The sequence below is a fragment of the Homo sapiens genome, chromosome X (assembly GCF_000001405.40).
Source record: "Homo sapiens chromosome X, GRCh38.p14 Primary Assembly".
In the NCBI taxonomy this organism is placed as follows: Eukaryota; Metazoa; Chordata; class Mammalia; order Primates; family Hominidae; genus Homo; species Homo sapiens.
The window spans coordinates 97997362-98012410 of record NC_000023.11 but is presented as its reverse complement, the minus strand read 5'-3'; the positions used below and the strand labels follow the sequence as shown (position 1 = coordinate 98012410).

The 15049-nt window shown below is 36.9% G+C and overlaps 2 annotated features.

Annotated features, from left to right (window-relative positions):
• Window positions 948–1448: an enhancer, noted in NCBI's record as "H3K27ac hESC enhancer chrX:97265961-97266461 (GRCh37/hg19 assembly coordinates)". NCBI's record gives its function as "activates a minimal SCP1, AML or CMV promoter by ChIP-STARR-seq in primed H9 embryonic stem cells {active_cell/tissue: H9 hESC(primed)}" and the evidence as "EXISTENCE:reporter gene assay evidence [ECO:0000049][PMID:30033119]".
• Window positions 1449–1949: an enhancer, noted in NCBI's record as "H3K27ac hESC enhancer chrX:97265460-97265960 (GRCh37/hg19 assembly coordinates)". NCBI's record gives its function as "activates a minimal SCP1, AML or CMV promoter by ChIP-STARR-seq in primed H9 embryonic stem cells {active_cell/tissue: H9 hESC(primed)}" and the evidence as "EXISTENCE:reporter gene assay evidence [ECO:0000049][PMID:30033119]".

Below are 15049 nucleotides of genomic sequence, written 5' to 3'. Positions count from 1 at the left end.
ATTGATATTTTACAAAGGCACCAAGACAATTCCATGGATAAAGGAAAGTTGTTTCAACAAATGATGCTGGAATAACTGGACACATGTATGAAACAATGACACACAGCTCCTACTTCATATCATACATATATATTCTAGATGAATCATAGAGCTAAACATAAAAGTTAAATTATAAATCATCTAGGAATAAACATAGGAGAATCTCTTCACAATGGTGTGGTAGAAAAATATTTTCTTGACAGTATCCAGAAATTGTTAACTAAAAAAGAAAAAAAAAAAGGATAAATTGGAATTGGAATTCAAGAAAATCAGAGTCTTCTTTTCATTAAAAGATAACAATAAAAAATGAATAGTCAAACTACAGATGGGGTGAATATAGTTGTAACACATAACTAATAAAGGTGTATTAGTCCATTCTCACATTGCTATAAGGAAATATGTGAGACTGGGTAAGTTATAAAGGAAAGAAGTTTAATTGTCTCATGGTTCCACATGGCTGGGAAGTCCTCAGAAAATTTACAATCATGGCAGAACGTGAAGGTGAAGCAAGTCACCTTCTTCACAAGGTGGCAGAAGGGAGAAGTGCTGAGCGAAGGGTGAAGAGCCCCTTATAAAACCATCAGATCTCATGAGAACTCACTATCACGAGAACAGCATGAGGGAAACTGCCCCCGTGATTCAATTACCTCCACCTGTTCTTTCCCTTGACATGTGGGGATTATGGAGATTATGATTCAAGATGAGATTTGGGTGAGGATACAAGGCCTAACCATATCATTCTGTCCTCAGCCCCTCCAAATCTCATCTCCCTTTCAAATTTCAAAACCAATCATGCCTTACCACCAGTCCCCCAAAATCTTAATTCATTCCAGCATTAAACCAAAAGTCCAAGCCCAAAGTCTCATTTGAGACAAGGCAAGACCCTTCAACCTATGAACTTGTAAAATCAAAAGCAAGTTAGTTACTTCCTAGATACAATGGGTGTACAGGCATTGAGCAAATACACCCATTTCAAATGGGAGAAATTGGCCAAAATGAAGGGGCTACGGGTCCCATGCAAGTCCAAAATCCAGCAGAGCAGTCAAATCTTAAAGCACTGAAATAATCTACTTTGACTCCATGTCTCACATCTGGGTCACACTGATGCAAGAGGTGGGGTCCCCTGGCCCTGGGCATCTCTGCCCTTGTGACTTTGCAGGGTAAAACGCCCTCCTGGCTGCTTTCCTGGGCCAGCATTCAGGGTCTGTGGCTTTTCCAGGCTATGATGCAAGCATCATGTTGGTGGATCTACCAGTCTGAGGTCTGGAGGACTGTGGCCCTCTTCTCACAGCTCCACTAGGCAGTACCCCAGTGGGGACTCTGTGTGGGGGCTCCAACCTCACATTTCCCTTTTGCACTGCCCTAGCAGAGGTTCTCCATGAGGGCTCCATCCCTGCAGCAAACTGCTGCCTTGACATCTAGGCATTTCCATACATCCACTGAAATCTAGGCAAAGGTTCCCAAACCTCAATTCTTGACTTCTGTGCACTAGCAGACCCAAAACCACATGGAAACTGCCAAGGGTTGGGGCTTGCACCCTCTGAAGCCACAGCCTGAGTTGTACGTTGGCCCCTTTTATCCACAACTGGGATGCAAGGCATCAAATCCTGAGACTGCACAAAGCAGCAAGGCCCTGGGCCCAGCTCATGAAACCATGTTTTCTTCCTAGGCCTCTGGGCCTGTAATGGAAGAAGCTGCAGTGAAGACCTCTGACATGCCCTGGATACATTTTCCCCATTGTCTTGGTGATTAACATTGGGCTCCTTGTTACTTATGCAAATTTCTGCAGCAAACTTGAATTTCTCCTCACAAAATGGGTTTTTCTTTTCTACCACATTGTCAGGCTGCAAATTTTCTAAGCTTTTATGCTCTGCTTCCCTTTTAAACATAAGTTCCTATTTCAGATCTTCTCTCTCAAGTTCAAAGTTCCACAGATCTCTAGGGCAGGGGCAAAATGCCACCAGTCTCTTTGCTAACACATAGCAAGAGTCACCTTTATTCCGGTTCCCAAGAAGTTCCTCATCTCCCTCTGAGACCACCTCAGCCTGGACTTTATTGTCCATATCAGTATCCCCATTTTGGCCAAAACCATTCAACAAGTCTCTAGGAAATTCCAAACTTTCCCACATCTTCCTGTCTTCTTCTGAGTCCTCCAAACTGTTCCAACCTCTGCCTGTTACCCAGTTCTAAAGTTGCTTCCATATTTTCGGGTATCTGTTCAGCAGCACCCCACTCTGCAGTACCAATTTACTGTATTATTCCAGTCCCACATTCCTATAAGGAAATACCTGAGACTGGGTAATTTATAAAGGAAAGTTGTTAAATTGACTCACAGTTCAACATGGCTAGAGTGGCCTCGGGAAACTTACAATCATGGCAGAAGGCAAAGGGGAAGCAAGGCACCTTCTTCACAAGGTGGCAGAGGGAGAAGTGCTGAGCAAAGGGGGAAGGGCCCCTTATAAAACTATCAGATCTCATGAGAAGTCGCTATCATGAGAACAGTAGGAGGGAAACTGACCCCATGATTCAATTACCTCCACCTGTTCTCTCCCTTGACATGTGAGGATTATGGGAATTATAATTCAAGGTGAGATTTGGGTGGGGACACAAAGCCTAACCATATCAAAACGGCTCAAATCTAGTATATATAAAAGACACCTTCAACTTATTAAAACACAGATAAATCAAGCAATAAATGATCAAAATGCTTGAACAGACATTTCACAAAGGAAGATATACAAATGGTCAATAAGCACAATGAAAAAGTACTCAACGTCATTAGGTAACAGTTGACCAGTACAAATTAAAACTGTGATGGAATACCACTACATATTCACCAAGATGGCTAGTATTTAAAACACTGACTATACCAAATGTCAGCAAACGTGGAACAACTGACACTCTCAAACACTGCTGGCAGATAAATAAAATGTTAAACCAGTATGAAAACAGTTTAGCAGTTTCTTATAAAGTTGAACATATTCCCTCTGCTATGGTCTGAAAGTGTCCCTCAAAATTCATATATTGACACTTAATGGCCAGTGTGATAGTATTAAGAGGTGAGGCCTTTAGGAGGTAATTAAATTATGTGGGCATAGCCCACATGAATGGGATTATCAGCCTTATAAAAGGGCTGGAGGGAATTAGCATTTGTCCCCTTTTGCCCTTCCATTCCTTCTGCCATGGGAGAATACAGCATTTGTCCTCTGGAGGATGAAGTGACAAGGTACCGTCTTGGAAGCAGAGAGTAGCCCTCACCAGACACCAAACCTGCAGGTGCCTTAATCCTGAACTTCCTAGCTTCCAGAACTGTGAGGAATAAATTTATATTGTTTCTAAATTATCTAGTCCATGGTATTTTGTTAGAGCAGCACAAACAGATTAAGATACCTTTCTGATGACCCAGTAGTTTCACTCCAAGAAATTTACACAAGAGAAATGAAAAAATATATCCACAAAAAGCCTCATATAAGAAAATGCATAGCAGGTTTAGTCAAAATAGGAAAAACTAAAAACATCCTAAATGTGTGTCAACGGGACAATAAAGTAATTGTGAGATGTGTATACAATGGACTTCTACTCAACAATAAAAAGGAATGAATTCTTGATACATGCAACAACATGGATGAATCTCAAAAATATTATGCTTAGCAAAAGAAAATGGTCACCAAAGAGCTCTTGCTATATGATTTGATTTACATGAAATTCTAGAACATGCAAAGCTAATCGATAGTGAAAGAAATCAGAGCAATAGTTGCTTCAGGGGGACAGTCAAGGATTAATTGGGACATGGCTCAAAAAAACTTTCTTGGGGTTTTGGGAGTATTCTATATATATATGAGTAAGTATGTGAGTTATAGGAAGCATTTGTCAAAACTGATTGATCTGTACACCTAATATCTGCGTCTTTCACTCTATGTAAATTAGATTTCAGCAGAATAAAAGATCTGGAGCTTAAAAACAAGAAAAGTGTTGGTAGTGGGAACAAAGAATATTAAAAAACGATGAATTAAATTTAACTAATAGTATTTAAAATCTCGCTACTTATTCCTAAAGTTAGATCACATTTTTCAGTATGCTATCAGAGGTATTTCCCTCTTTAGGGTTAGAATTGAAAAAAGTTTCAGAACTTTACACAAAGATTTTGTGCTAAAAATCTTTATTTCAAACAATGTATCTGGGGAAACAATATTTGCCCATAAGCATGGAAAAATTGATAAAAATATCTAGAAGAAAATATACTTATTTTAATAATCAGATCTGCTCAGTTTTCTAATGAGGATTCTAAACTTTTTCAGTGTTACATAAATTTTTTTAATGTAGCTCATTTGGCTATTGAATCTTTCTATCTTTAGCCCCTGTGAAAATAAATATTGTGGTGTTATTACACATACGAGATATAGTTTTTGTTAGTTAACAACACCTAAAAAACTGGCCACTCAAAATGTAAGAATGCATACTCCTCCGCTAACAATAAATGAAACTTGAAGTCAGAACTCCCCAAATGTTTCCAAGAATAAGTTGAAAATTTCAAGGCATTTTGAATCATGATAATATTTCAGATAAGTTCTATTATAGCCATTGCATCGAATATCACCAAAACAAATAATTTATAATTCTGATTGGCTGAGTCAGACCATTCTTCTTACTAGTTTTATGTTTCAAACTCCTGTTTTATAGTATATAGAGAAGCTGTCAATCATCAGTATCTACAAATCTAATTGATAATTTGTGATGATCAGTTTAAAACATGGGACATTTTTCCAAAACCTTCAAAAAGATGAAGTGTCTTAGTGAGAAACACTTTTTTAGAACCCACTTCAAAAATGTGACGAAGGAAGAAAAGACAAAGCTTAAAGTGGTAAAATCTCTGCCTTCTTCACAGGGCCTACCTGATTTGTGATTTCCATGTTTTCTTCAAGAGCTTAATTGAGCTGCATTGTTTTGGGTTTTCACTTTCAATTAACATCCTCTACAAAGTGTGAACTTATAGAGCCTGGTTTTGGCAGTTTCATACTTAGCAAGAAAGTTTCTGCCTGTGTATTGTGAAATAATTTAAATGAAAATGTTATAGGTATCAAGTTACAGCTAAAAGAAAGGAGTACAAAGCTGTGCTTAAGTTTACTTCTATTAGAGTAGGGCACCTGAATTTAACTGGGCTAAAATAATCTGTCTATCTCCCTGCTATTTACAAATATATATGTGGGCTTAGTGTTTTGATTCTAGGGCCTATAAAATAGGGTACACTAAAAAATATAACCCTGCTATATCTGAAATACCATTTAAAAAATTATTTCATCTGTGAAAATATGGACTTTTTCCAGCATGGTACTTCCCCTTAGCTTACCTTACACTGGATGCTATATGTCAAGACAGTAAGACATTGCATTTTTTATAAGCAGATTATTATCTGTAAAGATTAGCTGTTTTTAGTTCTGGGAAATGTTAGACAGAGGCTATTTTGCCACACTTTATAAATAAGAAAAATATTTGATAGGGTAATTCACCAGTTAGAGGATCACAAAATCTTTCAAAATCCACTAGTTTTATTTTGCAGTTGTAAAATAAATGTCTGGACTTTGTCATTTACACTTACCAGAATCAAATGCACATAATCACATAGCTTTGAATTCTGACATGAAATTCTGAATCCTTTATCCATTTTATTGATAGCATGAGAATCTACTCCCACAACGGTATTTGGTTCAATGTATACCTTCCAATGCTTTAGCATTATTGCTCAAGTAGAGCTGAAAGGCAAGTTATGTTGTTGAAATGTTCTGTAAGTGATAGGTAAAAATCATGGTAATTCAAGTCATACTTCATGTGACCAATACCTCAGAGCACTTTAAACGAAGAATAGGTATTAATGAGGTCAAGTAAAACAATTTCTCTAGCTAACCTTTTCATTTTGTGCATGGCAGTATTAAAAATGGTGCAAAGTGGCATTTAATTGCCTTCAAACCTTCACACTTCTGCAATCTGAGATTCTAGAGAATTCTTACTTCTATCTTGACCCCATTTTAAAAAGTACTATTCTCCCTGGACCCGTATAGGGATAGACTGGCATTGTCAGAATCCAAAACTAAGGAAAAGTTAAAGAATAGTCTGTCAGCAAAGTTGGAAGGAATCATTGTATATGGATTTTTTTTTCTTCTGGGGTGACTACCTTCTATCATACTTAAGAACTACAAGACTAATGTAATAAGGAAATAACCCATTTACGGGCCAAAAAATGCAATGAGTAGATGCCAGTTTGCAAAGTGTGAAAAGGTAACATATATACATTTATATTTTCATATTCTGCAACTTTACAACCTTACACTCCGCACTTCCCAAAACCCCAGGGATAGCTCATAACATCGTACTATCAAGATTAAGAATAAAAATAATCCTTTGGCTCAAAGATACAATACCTTACATACAGCATTCCCTCAAAATAACAAAGAAACTGATTTCATCAGTTGATATGTTGATCAGAATACTATGCAATTCTCTATTTCTGTTTTTGACATTTAAGCAAATGTATTCAAACATTTTAAAAACAGAAATGAAGCTTCTAATACATAAAACTGTGTTTGAGTAGTGTCTTTCTTCAATAACTTAATTTAAAACCATGGAAAATTAAATAACAAATGAAGAATGGCTACGAATTTCACTGGAAGAACTAGAAGCGAATGCTGAATGGGTTATGTCAAGATACTAATCCACGCTGCTTCGCAGTGAGGCCATAGACTGAAAAGCGTGCAGTCAAGTTTTCAGGAAAAAAAGCATCCTAACCTTGCAGTCTTCACCCCCATGTGGCAAAAGTTGCTTTGGAAATGACAAGGAGAGATAGTGCAATACGAATCCCTGTCAGAGAGCTGTGGCAATAATATTCTGGGTCAAACCAGTATACTCAATATGCCTCCTATCAAAACAGCACAGTGGCTATATGGTGCCCAATAAAACTGGAAAGCTGGAGTTGTGATTGTGAAAGTGCTGCAGATTAATGAACAATTCACCTTATTCTTTGTGTTTTCCAGAATAAAATGGAGTGGGTCTCACAGAGCCTTGCAAGAGCCCATACCCAGGAACAATAAGGTGGAAAAAAATGAAAGACAAAGGGAAGAATAAAAAATAAGCCTGAAAAATTTTACCAGAGAGTCAGTGAGGACAAGGAGACAAATATGATACTTTTCTAGTCTTGCCATCAGCAGCAGCAGTAATCCTCACAGTCCCCAAGTTTGTGTTAAAGCTTCAAAGCAGGATACTAAATCCTTTCACAAGTTTTCTTAAAGCATTGCCAGTGACAAAAAAGCGCAGGGCATATTCTTACACAGTATAAGTAAGGAAATTTAGCAATGCTATGTACGATTAAGAATTTTAAAGGAATCTATAGTGCTAGAGTATTGCTTTGGATTTAGAGAATTTATTCTATGACTGCATATACTGCCAAAGGAAGCATTAAAGTTTAGGTTGTCTCCTTACCTTGATAATTCGGCACCAGATTAGAATGAGTGAAATGATTCTGTTTTGTTTCCATCAAATGACCAAATGATGAGGTAAATATTTGTTAAGATCATCTCTTCAAAAGACTCTGTTAGAATTACCTTCTGCTAGATTTGATTGTGGCAGTGCTTATAATCATTCTACAAATCAGTAAAGGATCCTGAGTTGCTGGGCTTAGAAAAAGAAGCACACTCCATTTTCATCCTACGTAGACTGCCCATTTACTTCATCTCCTTTTGCTGCAATCCATCCTGCAGTGGGGAAAATGGAGAAATTGTAAAAAGAAACTATGTCTGATTTTTGTCCTTCAATTTTTACACAATTTTTTGTTCAAAAGTGATGTTCAGAAATCATTCTCAAGGGATGTAAAATTTTCAGAATTATCTTTCCACAGGCTTCCTTCACACAGGAGTCAGCTTTGTCTAAGAAGCTCTCATTGATGTCAACATAATACTTTTGATGTATGCAGTATCTATCGTTGCTTTCCCTACTTTCACCAAGAATACCATATTTGCTGCAAGTAGTTTTTACACAATTGCATGTAATATTTTTGAAGGATTATTCTATGTATGTTTCATTGAACTTTACCTTGCTTGAATGAACTTCTTAACCCATGTTGATTTCTATTTTTGTATTTTCCCACACGTTTTCAGTACATAAATTCTTTTTTAGGAGATAGCCAGTTCTATTAAATTAACTGCAGGCAATCAGGGGACTTATTCCTGCAAAGTCTCACAATTAGAGATTCATTTATTCATTCATTCAAGTTTTATTGAACGTTGTCCTGTACACTCTACTAGACACTAGAGATAAAAATATAAATAAAGTGCAGGACCTGCCTGATGAAACTCTTGCTCTGTTATAATTACAATAGTAAGTGATAGATGCTATAGGAGGTGGCTATGAAGAATCTAACTCTGCTTGGGGACAGTGGAAATAGGTGGTGGCTTCACGAAGAGATTATATTTAAACTGAGTCTTGTACGAAGGCTAATAGCTCCCAAGAAAGATAAGACAAGAGGGAGCAACATAGCAGCATGGAGAAACCGTTCAGATACTAAGTAATTGAGTGTGTGTTTCTTCTTGGTGCATGATACTGTAAAGTGTAGAGTTAAGAAACAAATGCCTGTACCCGAACACCACCCTCCCAAGATTCTGATTTATTGAGCTATGATGAGTAAAGGCCATTTTTAAAAGCTCCCTGGTTATTCTAACTGCAGCCAGAGTGGAAAGCCACTGCTTTATACAGTTGGGAGCCATTGAAGGATTTTAAGCAGAACAATGAATGAAAATGTAAGGAAACAAAACTATTTTGTTTAGATTGAAGAAGTGAAAGATTGAAGGCTGAGATACTAGTAGAACAATAATACCAAGATGTAAGTCCTCAACTGTTGCTAATCTGAAACAAGGTTTCCACTTGTACCAAGCAAAATGACCATTATTTTATGAGTCTTTTTGTGAACATATCCACTCATTTCTCTTGGCTATATATGTGGAAGTAGAATTTCTGGGTCATAGGATAACCATATATTTAACTTTTTCTAATATAAGCTTCTGTAATATATTTAGCATATGTTAAGAAGATGCCAAACAGTATCAACTAAATTTATTCAGAGTTGCTGCATAAAATTACACTTCCATCACCAATATATGAAAGCTTCAATTATTCTACATGCTTGCCAACAGTTGCTATTAGGTATTTTGAATTTTTACCATTTTGGTGAGTGTATGGTGATATTTCATTGCGGGTTTTTTGTACGTGTATGTTGGGTCATCTAAACAAAATTACTGTTTTTTACTTTATTTTATCTATTTAGCTGATCCATGGATTAGTATAACTTCAATTTCTTACATGTAACCATGATTACATAGTTTTGGTAACTTTTATGGGCTATAATTCACATGCTATAATTTTCATCCTTTTAAAGTATGCAATTGAGTGATTTTTAAAATATTCATAAAGTTATACAACTATCAACACTACATAATTCCAGAATATTTTCCTCCTGCAAAAAAGAAACCCCATGCTCATTAGCAGTCATTCCCCATTCTCCTGGGACTCCAACTCCTGGCAACCATTAATCTACTACTTTGGGTCTCTATGGATTTGACTATTCTGGACATTTCATATAAATGGAATCATACAATATGCTGCCTTTTGCATCTGGCTTCTTTAAGTTAGCATAATATTTTCAAGTTTCATCCATGTTGTAGCATCTACAGTACTTCTTTTCTTTTTCTGGCTAAATAGTATTCCATTGTATGAATATACCACATTTTGGTTATCCATCCATCAACTGGTGGATATTTGCGTGGTTTCTGCTTTTTCACTATTATGAATAATGCTATTATAAACATTCATGTATGAGTTTTTCTGTGGGCATATTTTTCTATTTTCTTGGATTTATATCTAGAAGTGAAATTGCTGGATCATGTGGTAACTATTTGTTTAACTTTTTGAGGAACAGCCAAGTTGTTTTCCAAAGAGAATGCACAGACCAGTTTACATTCCTACCGGCGGTGTATTAAGAGTCTAATTTCTCCACATATTTGCCTACACTTGTTATTTTCTGTCTTTTTAATTAGAGCCATCCTAATGGATATCAAATGGATATCACGTTGTGGTTTTGTTTATGTTCTTGACTAACGATATTGAGCATCTTTACATATGATTATCAGCCACTTGTGTATCCTTCTGTGGAGAAGTATGCATTCAAATCCTTTGTTCATTTTTAAATTGGATAACTTGTCTTTTTTTCTTAATGATACCTAAGAGTTTTTGTTACAGTCTAGACACCAATCCTGATAAAAAGGTGTTCTTAACTTAATGGAGTCAAATTTATTTCTTTAGTTAATCTTATATGGTCTTGTTTTATGGGTTTTTTCCTTATATAAAATTTTTAAAATACCACTCCATAGTCATAAAGGTATACTCCTGTTTTCTTCTAGAACAGAGTTTGACAATTTTTTTCTGTAAAATACTGGATAGTAAATACATATGGCTTTGCAGGCCATGTAGTCTCTTTCATAACTACTCAACTCTGCCATTGTAGCATGAAAGCAATCATAACAATACACAAATGAATGGGCTGGTTGTGTTCTGTTAAAATTTTATTTACAAAAAGAGGCAGAAGTCTGGATTTGGCCTAAGAGCCATAGTCTGATCTAAAAGTGCCCATTGTTTCATTTTTCACATTTAGGTCCACGGTCCATTTAAATTTTATTTTTGTGTATAGTTTGACATCGGTATCAAGGTCCATTTTCTTTCATATAAAAATTCAATTACTCTGACATTATTTATTTAATAAAATTATTCTTTCCCCCACTTAATTACAGTGAAATCTTAGTTATAAGTCAAGTGACTCTATATATGTGGGCCTGTTTCTGGACTCTCTTTTCTGTACTGTTGGTCTATTTGTCAATCCTTTCATCAGTACTACACTGCTTTAACCATTATGGGTTTATAAGTAGTCTTGAAGTCCAGGAGCATAAGACCTCCAACTTTGTTTCCTCTCTTTCAACACTGTATTGACTATTCAATACTTTTGCATTTCAATTCAAATCTTATAATCAGCTTGTCAGTTTATACACACACACATACACTCACACACACTGCAGTGATTTGACTGAGAATGCCTTTACTTTATAGATCAATTTTGGACGAATCGACATCATAACACTATTGTGTCCTCCGATCAATCCATAACCATGCTATGTTTTTCTGTTTATTTAAATCTTTTTCAATGTCTCTCAGAAATGTTTTGTTGTTTCAGGTATAATGGTTTGTCATATCTTTCATTAGATTTAATTCTAAGTACTTGATGATTTTTCTTGCTATGTTAAATGACATTTTTAATTTTATTTGCAAAATTTCTTATCATTTTACAGAAATAGAAATATTTCTCAATCTTGACTTTTTCCAGGTGACCTTGATAAACTCACTAATTAATGTGCTTGTATCTGAAATCCAAAAGTTTTAAAACAAATGAGGAAACTACTGAAATTTTGTGGGATAGAGGTCATAAAAACACAAATTAAAATGATGAGTGTAAGAAGAGATTTGAGAAACATATATATAAATCTATAGTAATTGAAATGTTTATGATAATGCAAATGGAAGAGTAGAAGGAGTCTATCAGGTTTCTGTCTTGGATAAATGAATGATTAATGCTGCCATTTACCAAGATAGGAAGCATAGGGAGAAGAAAATGCTTTGGAAAAAGTAAGATCCTTTTTTAGTAAATTTCTCTGAGTTGGCTATAAGATGTCCAAGAGAAAATTTCTGCTAGTGAATTTAAAATAGAAATCTGGACTTAAGCTATTGCCAGTTGTTAGAATACAGATGATAGTTGAAGCCAAGAAAAAATAGTCAAAAACGAGAACAATGTGTAGAGTGAAAAAAAAAAGAGTTAAATATTTTAGTACTGGAAAGTACCAATATTAAAGGAGCATTGAAGGGAGAAAAGCCAACAAAGGAGAACAAAAAGAAATACTCAAGGCGGGGTGTGGTGGCTCACGCCTGTAATCCCAGCACTTTGGAAGGCCGAGGCAGGCGGATCATGAGGTCAGGAGATCGAGACCATCCTGGCTAACATGGTGAAACCCCGTCTCTACTAAAAATACAAAAAAATTAGCCGGGCGTGGTGGCGAGTGCCTGTAATCCCAGCTACTTGGGAGGCTGAGGCAGGAGAATGTCGTGAACCCAGGAGGCGGAGCTTGCAGTGAACCAATATCATACCATTGCACTCCAGCCTGGGGGACACAGCAAGACTCCGTCTCCAAAAAAAAATACTCAAAAGAGAACTAAGAAAGGGTAATCACAGAAACCAGTGAAAGATTTTCAAGATGTAGTGCATGTCCAGCAATATTGTAAAATGGTCAAGTGAGAAAGGGATTGAAATTGAAATTGCCGATTTAGAAGTCATTAATTACTTCTTTCAGAGATGTTTCAGCAATATGATGGGAATGGAAGCTAGATCCATGTGGGTTAAATTGAAGATGATGAAGTGAAAGACAGCTGTGAAAAATATTCTTCATAAACTCCTGCATGTGAAGTAAAGGAGAGAAGTCTCTAGAGTGACAAACCAATGTCAATAGGCTCAAAGGAAGGTATTTTGAAAGGGGAATATTTGATCATAGTTATACCTCTAGTGGAAGGACCCAAAGAGTTCGAGAATACAGATGTAAGAGGGAATAATTGATGGAGCAAAGGCTTGCAGTTGATGGAAGAGAAGTGGATCTGATGCATAAACACCATCTGAATTAAACTAAACTTACATGTAATTTGAATAAATAGAAATATAAATGCTTGAGTGTTAGCATACAGCAGGTGGATATAAGTTTGTAGCTTCTAATTTTTTTTTTCTCCAACATCTAGTCTCCCACATCTAATGTCTATTTAACATCTTTGAATTATTTCTAAATTGTCCTCAAACAGGTGAAAAATTTTCCCTAGTTTGCTCAAACTTTACCTCCTTTCACATATTACATATAGTACCATATATGCGTTAAAAGCCTTTAGAAAGGATTTATTCCATGGTAACACGCCTTTAATTATGGGTGCAAAAATCAAGTTACAGATTTAAGTAGTATGTGATGGTTTTGTGCAGATAACAATTTATAAAGACCAGGCAATTATCCTGTCCCTTGCTACATAACCTACCATCAACCTCTACCTCTCCATCTCCTCTAAATACAAAATTCCAAATAGAGGCCAGGTGCAGTGGCTCAGGCCTGTAAACCCAGCACTTTGGGAGGCCAAGGCAGGAGGATCACCTGAGGTCAGGAGTTGGAGACCAGCCTGGCCAATAAGATGAAACCCCGTCTCCACTAAACATACAAAAATTAGCCGGGCATGGTGGCACGTGCCTATAATCCCAGCTACTCAGGAGGCTGAGGCAGGAGAATCGCTTGAACCCAGGAGGTGGAGGTTGCTGTGAGCTGAGACCCCACCATTGCACTCCAGCCTGGGCAACAAGAGCAAAACTCTGTCTCAAAAAAAAAAAAAAAAAAAAAAAAAAAAAAAATTACAAATGGAATCTGGTTACTAGTAAAGCCACGTATGTTCTGAAGATTTATATCACAAGCTATTGATGATTAAGGAGGTATGCAGACTTTTTTTTTTTTTTTTCCGAGACAGAGTATCACTCTGTCACCCAGGCTGGAGTGCAGTGGCACAATCTCGGCTCACTGCAAGCTCCGCCTCCCGGGTTCACGCCATTCTCCTGCCTCAGCCTCCTGAGTAGCTGGGACTACAGGTGTCCGCCACCACGCCTGGCTAATATTTTGTATTTTTAGTAGAGGCAGTGTTTCGCCGTGTTAGCCAGGATGGTCTCGATCTTCTGACCTCGTGATCCGCCCGCCTCGGCCTCCCAAAGTGCTGGGATTACAGGTGTGAGCCACCGCGCCCGGCCGGTATGCAGACTTTTTAGGAAGGGTGTCAATTACTTGTATTTAATACACTAAACATCAACAAAGAAATAATAAATTTTAGTAGAATATGACAAGTAGTTAACAATATCAATGAAGATGTTAAGAAACATCTGAGAAGTGGAGGTATATGATTACATTAATCAAAGAAACTTTGAAGACAATAAATTGAAATTTACAGGTTTAGATAATTATAACAGAAAATGAGCAGTCAAGATAATCTTTAAGAATCTTCCTCAGTATGCATGTAATATTAAGACAGCATTATAAAACTCAGATTTATTCCCTGAGCTGATCCCTATGGAAAAGCAAGTGAATATTTCTAAATGTTTCTTTCTGCATTTACTACAACATGCAAAATACATAAGGTGATGAGTCGGGAGTTAATAAATAGATGAGTCTGAGTTTCTAAATTAATTCATTAGTGTAATATTCATGGAATATATTTTCCTTTCAGTGCACACACATAATTCATATTAGCATTAGTGGGAGGAAGTTACACTTGCATGAGAAGAATACAGCAATCAACATGCAAAACTCTAAGAGAATTCTTTGTGAAAGATTTGCTATTTCACTGCATATTGCAAAAGTGATGTCTGCATGACACCAAATGGAAACATTCATTCATCCAAATATTTCTTAATAGCTGCATGTTTTATACTATAGGTAAACTGTATAAAATATGTATTGCATTTTATCCATACCAAAAAAAAAGCAATTAAGATTTGTTAAAGACAATTTGTTAAAAACAATCATGTGCCAAGCACTGCGCTAAGTCCCTGACAAGTATAGTTATCACCACGAAAATATGCTGTGTGGCCGGGCGCGGTGGCTCACGCCTGTAATCCCAGCACTTTGGGAGGCCGAGGTGGGCGGATCACGAGGTCAGGAGATCGAGACCATCCTGGCTAACACGGTGAAACCCCGTCTCTACTAAAAATACAAAAAATTAGCCAGGCGTGGTGGCAGGCACCTATAGTCCCAGCTACTAGGGAGGCTGAGGCAGGAGAATGTCGTGAACCTGGGAGGCGGAGCTTGCAGTGAGCCGAGATCACGCCACTGCACTCCAGTCTGGGTGACAGAGCGAGACT